This window comes from Homo sapiens, chromosome 11 (genome assembly GCF_000001405.40).
Source record: "Homo sapiens chromosome 11, GRCh38.p14 Primary Assembly".
In the NCBI taxonomy this organism is placed as follows: domain Eukaryota; kingdom Metazoa; phylum Chordata; class Mammalia; order Primates; family Hominidae; genus Homo; species Homo sapiens.
The window spans coordinates 110965747-110971938 of NC_000011.10; the positions used below are offsets into that span (position 1 = coordinate 110965747).

At 41.2% G+C, this 6192-nt stretch overlaps 1 annotated feature.

Moving 5' to 3' along the window:
• Nucleotides 5703–5872: an enhancer, noted in NCBI's record as "experimental_18726 CRE fragment used in MPRA reporter constructs". NCBI's record gives its function as "activates a minimal promoter by MPRAs in K562 erythroleukemia cells, with activity observed for the non-introgressed 11:110842258 variant allele {active_cell/tissue: K562}" and the evidence as "EXISTENCE:reporter gene assay evidence [ECO:0000049][PMID:34662402]".

Sequence of the window (6192 nt, forward strand, 5' to 3'; positions counted from 1 at the left end):
ATAATTTATAAAGAAAAGAGGTTTATTTGACTCATGGTTCTGCAGGCTGTAAAAGCATGGCATCAGCATTTGCTCAGCTTCTGACGAGGCCTCAGGAAGCTTTTACTCATGGTAGAAAGGGAAGGGCGCATGGGCATGTCACATGGTGAGAGAGGGAGAAAGAGAGGGGGAGGTGCCAGGCCGTTTTTGAAAACCAGCCCTCACATGAACTCAGAGTGAGAACTCACTCATTACCATGGGGAGGGTACCAACCCATTCATGGGGGATCTACCCCCATGACCCAAACACCTCCCACCAGGCCCCACCTCCAACACTGGAGATTACATTTCAACATGAGATTTGGAGGGGACGAATATACAAATCATATTAGCAGGGAAAGGGTGCACCACACAAGCATATGTGGAAAACACTGCCCAGTTGTATGACTTCCTTTAGGCCAATGGAACATTAACGATTGCACCATAAGTGCTTGTGCCATGGGGCTTGCCTGCTGTTGCAGTTGGGATCCTTTTACCATCATGCAAATAAGCCCAGAATAAACCCTTGGAAAATGAAAGACCATGTGAAGGGAGGCTGTAGTCATCCTAGCTGTCCCAGAAAAAGTTATCATAAGCCAGCTGGCCCCAGCTGGCCCATCAGTTCACTGCCAGTCTATGAATAAGGCCAGCTGAGGCCAGCCAAGCCTGACCAAGACAAGAATGATCACACTAAGCCCAATCTGCAGAATTGTGAGCAAAGCAAAGTATGGTTGTTTAAAGATGCTAAAGTTTAGGATGGTTTGTTCCCCAGCAATAGCTAATGGACACAGAGGTCACTTGAGCAGCATAATCCCTGAATCTACGCAGCCACGTCAGCCATGTCAATCTTCAGGGATTGGTGCATAAAGATCAAGGGCAGAGAAGAGCTGCAACAGTACCATTATGATGTAGTACCTTTAGCAGATGACCCCCCAGCCAGTATATGAGGCTGCTGTTTTCCTAGCTTTCCACCCATAGAATCTATTGTACGACTGTGTTTTTCACAGCTAGGTAAATCCGTACCCTATCAATATTTAATGCTCTGGTTGCTTTTCTCTCCTGTGTCCTCTGATCAAGTCTCAACACTGCCTTACCATTTACTCTCCCTGGCTCAGCTCAAGGGACCCATTTGTGGCCAAACAGATGATTATTTCATCAGCACCAACCTGGGTCTGTAGAATACTACACATCCATCAAAATTATCTTAGGCCACATTTCAGAAGGCTTTTCTAGACATTCGTAAAGAGTCTGATTTAATGTCTTCACTAAGATACCCTAGGGAGGTTATTTTCATTCACCATAAGAACTGGCTGTTGATGTCCCTGATAGGATGCCATAATGGAAATTATCTATACATGAGTCCGTCTGTCCCAATCAAGTATAAATTCTTCAAAATCAGAGACCATATGTTATTTGTCTTCGAAATCTCCATGCTTAGTGCAAAGCCTAACATATAAGTTCAGAGTCTGTCATATGAAATGAATGAGTGAATAAATGAATCAATCAATAAGTCATGTGCTTTGGACAGGCCCAGTACCATACTGATTTATTTATAGGATCACAATATAAGAGTGTTGTATTCTTTTTCGTTTAGCAGACTTCTGAATTTTGGTAGTGGTTGTTTTTTGTTTTTGTTTATGTTTGAGACAGGGTCTTACTCTATCACCCAGGCTGGAGTGCACTGGCGTGATCACAGCTACTGAAGCCTCAACCTCCTGGGCTCAAGCAGTCCTCCTACCTCAGCCTCCTTAGTAGCTGGGACTACAGGTGTGTACCACCATACCCGGCTAATTTTCTATTTTTTGTAGAGATGTTGCCTGGCCGGTCTCAATCTCCTGGGATCAAGAAATCCTCCCACTTCAGCTTCTCAAAGTGCTAGGATTATAGGTGTGAGCTACTACACCTGGCCTTTCTGCATTTTTGGCTACTTTGAAACATCAGAAGTTTCTCTGGTTTTCTTTTGCTTATAAGATTTTGCCTTCTGGATCACTTCGATTTACAGAGTCTTAATTTACATGTAATAGATCCAATGTAGAATTTCCTTTGCTTCATTATTTCTACAAAAACAAAGATTAAAGATTAAGGGAAAATAAACTGAGAAAAACATCAAAAGAATTCTGGATATAGGAAAAGGGAAAGCTGTGGTTATTTACAGAGTCTTTACTACATGTTACCTTCTCCATGAAGCCAACACTTGACACCCCATTTAAAACAGCAACTTCCTATGTCACCCCCTACCACCCAAATCCTGCCTACTCTGCTCTGTTTTTTCAAAGCATTTACTGCCTTCAAATATACCATCATAATGCCTTGTAGATAGTAGGTACTCAATAAACACTTGTTAAATGAATGAATATATACATGGCTATTGTGGTAGGCAAAATTCTTAGATGATCTCCAAGATTCTCACTTCCTGTTGTACACACCTGTATAATCACCTCCACTTGAGAGTGAGCAGGACCTGTGAAAATGATGGGGCACCACACCTTCTTCCCATGTTAGGCTGTGTTATGTGGCAAAGATGAAGGTAGTTTACAGATGTGACTAAAGTCCCTAAATTAATAAAGAGAAGTTATCCTGGATGGGCCTGACCTAATCAGGAACTGAATTCTGCCAACGACTAGTCGGCTCAGGAGATGGAGACCTCGACTGCAGCCTTCTCAGACCCTGAGTAGAGGGGCCCAATGACACTGTATAAAGATGGACTCCTGCCCCACAGGAACTGTTAGATCATAGATGAGTGTTGTTTTAAGCTGTTAAATTTGTGGTCATTTGTTATGCAAGAGTAGAGCACTCATAATACAGCTATGAACTCACCAAGTGTTGAAGAAAGGGGCAAGAGGAACCAAGGAACCCACAGGATTTTTCTTCCTGGTGAGAAAGAAAACTTCTACTTGGCCTCTGATGTCTCCTTAGGTACCATCCCATGTCCTGGGATCTCTATGCCAATGGCCTTTACCTCCACTCTACCCCTGCAGCCCTCTAAAAATTTAAATTTATATAGCTCAGAGGACATGTGCTTTCCTGCTTTCAGAAATATTTGTAAATCTGGTGAGACCTCCAATTTTACTTCACGTCTGAGTGCTCCTCCCTCCCTGTGGTCTCTGAGGGTTTCCACCTTACTTATTCTCAGTTCCCTGGGTCCCTGCAGTCCCTTACAGTGACAGTTTGTAACCTTTGCCACAAAACAGAATCCCTGAGGAACTTCTCAAAAACACTGAGAAAGGATCTTGATCCCCATAGATTGTGACTTCATTGGTCAATGATGGGGTCCACATATAGACATTTTTGTAAAAGCTCCCTGGGATGTTCTTAATTGTACCCAGGTAGAGAGTCTCTGATTTGGACCATTTACATTTTATCCCTTCTTTGGCCCTTACAAGAAATCAAACCTGCCAAGCTTACTATAATTTTGGTACATTTGCTGTAGGTTTGAGGCTGACACAAAAAGGGGATTATTTTGTGGGGTAGTGGCTGTTCACCATCTCATGAGCTTCTGCATCACTTGCTTTTCTTTCAGATCTGCTGCCTTGCATTTGGCTGTTTCACAAATCCCATGCTTCCACTGTGGAAATGTCATATATAGTGAAGTTCCCTAAGTATATCCCAGCCAGCCAGCCCCCTGCCCCAATCTCCAGATTGCTGTGTTTCAGAAAACATTGCATCAGGTGCTCTGAGACGTCTCTGTCTTGGTACATTTGTTCATCAGTGCTCCATCTACAACCTCTAAGTCTCCTACCTCTTTCCTTCCCTTACTGTCTCCACTTAACCAGTGTTTTATCTTCATTGAGATGTCAGTTTATTCTTTCAATCCATCACCCCTGCATGGACTGACTTAACACCATCCCCAAAGCAAACGATTTCTTCAACCACATTATCACTGGGACCTGCCAATTCCTTCATTCTCTTGTCTTCTGATGGCACCAACCAAGAAACTACCAATGCTGCTGTTTCTGAAGAAATTCAAACAGCATGGACTGGTAAAACTCCAAATGCTTGGTAGTTAGCTTCTACTAGCCATTTGCTAATATTGTACTATTAATAGCTAATGTTGAACACTATCTTATCAGGAACTTTGCATTCTGTCTTTTAATACTCACAACAGGATATTAGATAAATATTATTATTGATACCACTTTGCAGATGTTGAAAATGAGACTTGCTAAAAGTCACACAGCTATTGACATGATTTGAGCCTGTGTCTGTCTGACTCCAGAGTCTTAACTTTGAGGTACTATATTTTCTGCCTCACAATGAGAAAACTCTTGGCTTTACTGCCTCCATTTTTAGATTCATTAGCACTAACACAATTCTTCCCTCTTCTGTCCTGTCTCAAAGAAAAGGTCATCTCTCTTCCCACCCCCTCACCACCCGCCCCCCCCCAGTTAATTCCTTCCCTGAAGGGCTATTGCTTAACACTCACATCCCTTTCAAAATCATCCCATTTCCGCAGTCCCTTCTTTTTATGTTTTCAATCTGTTCCTCACTACTAATTCTTTTTTTGTTCTCAGCCTACGAATAGATCCCAAACTAAAAAACTCAGCTGGAGACTAGGCATGGATCCTCCTTAATATTTATCTTGTGGGTACCACAAACGTAACCTGTCCAAAACAGAACTCATAATATGAAACTTTCCCATTCCACATCCCCCTTCCACAAACTTGTTCTGCTCTGATATACTCATCTACTAATGTAGAAACATATTTAGTTTTAAGATATTTTCTTATAAGCAAAAGTTCATACAAGTGACTATTAATTCTCATTATTATTATCATCAAAATAGTACTTTTTCTATTCATGAAAAATAAGCTCAAGTATCATGCTGGTGTTCTTGATGACATAAATTATATTTGTAGACAACTATAAGCTATGCAATTACACTAATAAAATATAAAATTCTAAGGTAACGTGGAAAAAGCTCACACATCAGCTCTCTGCACCTTGCTAGCTCTCAGTGATTATAAGAATTATCTCAGACTGGTGGTAATAATTGCCATGTTTTTAAAAACCAATATTGTATGAAGTAAGGGAAATTTTTAAGCACAGAAATAGTACCTTAACGTAATAAAATAGTACACTGAGGCACACTGAGCAGAAACATAAAATTTATGCTATCCCTTAGGCTATAAGCTCTATGAGGGCAAGAAGCTTATATGTTTTGCTCCACACTACATTCTCAGCATCTAATGTAGTGCCAGGAGCATAATTAGTGCTCAATAGATGTTCATTATATTAACAAATAAATGGGAGAAATTGATGTATAGTTAGGATAATCTCTGTAATAAACAGACTCAAATTGATGCTTATTTTCCACTTGCGTAACAATACGTGGCAGCTGAAAGCCTCCTCTGCATAGTCACGCAGAGACCCCGACTATTGGAGGCTCTGTCATCTTTACTTTGAGGCTTTGATTAATGTACCAGAGATTATCTCCATTCCAACAAGCCAGAGGAGAAAGCAAAGCATGGAGGAATGCCTCATGGAGTTTATGGTCAAGCTTCCAATCAGTGCACATCACTTCTGCTCACATTCCGGTGGCTGGAACTCAACCACAGGGCCACTCCTTACTGTAACAGAAGTCAGAACATGCAGTCTAGTTGTGTGCCCAGGAAGTGGAGGAGGCCATGAATTTTGATAAGCAGCTAGTGGCCTGTGGCACATGTGATGAGCAGGCTGGAACCAGATCTTATCTTATCCTCTTGAAGCAAAACATCTTGGCCCACATTTAAAAAAAATAGGTATATAAGTCTCTTCTGCTTGTGTAAGCAAAAGCATGTAAATAGAATACTTATGCAGAAAAAAATGAGGTTAGTTTTTGCATCTGTTCATGGTGTCACCATGTATTCTGCCTTCAAAAGGAGAAGCTTGGGTGCCATCAACAGATTCTCCCTCTATTTTATTCCAAATCCTTAGGTCTGATCTGTCATCTAGTGTACACTATAAGACTGAACTCTAGCCCCTTTTCTCTGACTCCGTTGCTTCTCTCTTCTTTTAGGACCAGGCTGTTAACTTTAAGGGATGCAATAGCTTACAAAATGGTCTTCGGACCACTAGTCCCCAGTGCAATTGATTAAACATCTTTCTTCCATCAAAGTTATATTTTAAAAACAAAGTCACTAGGTCCTATCCCAGGTTAATAAAGTAAAACAAACAAAATGCAAACACACTTCTTCTT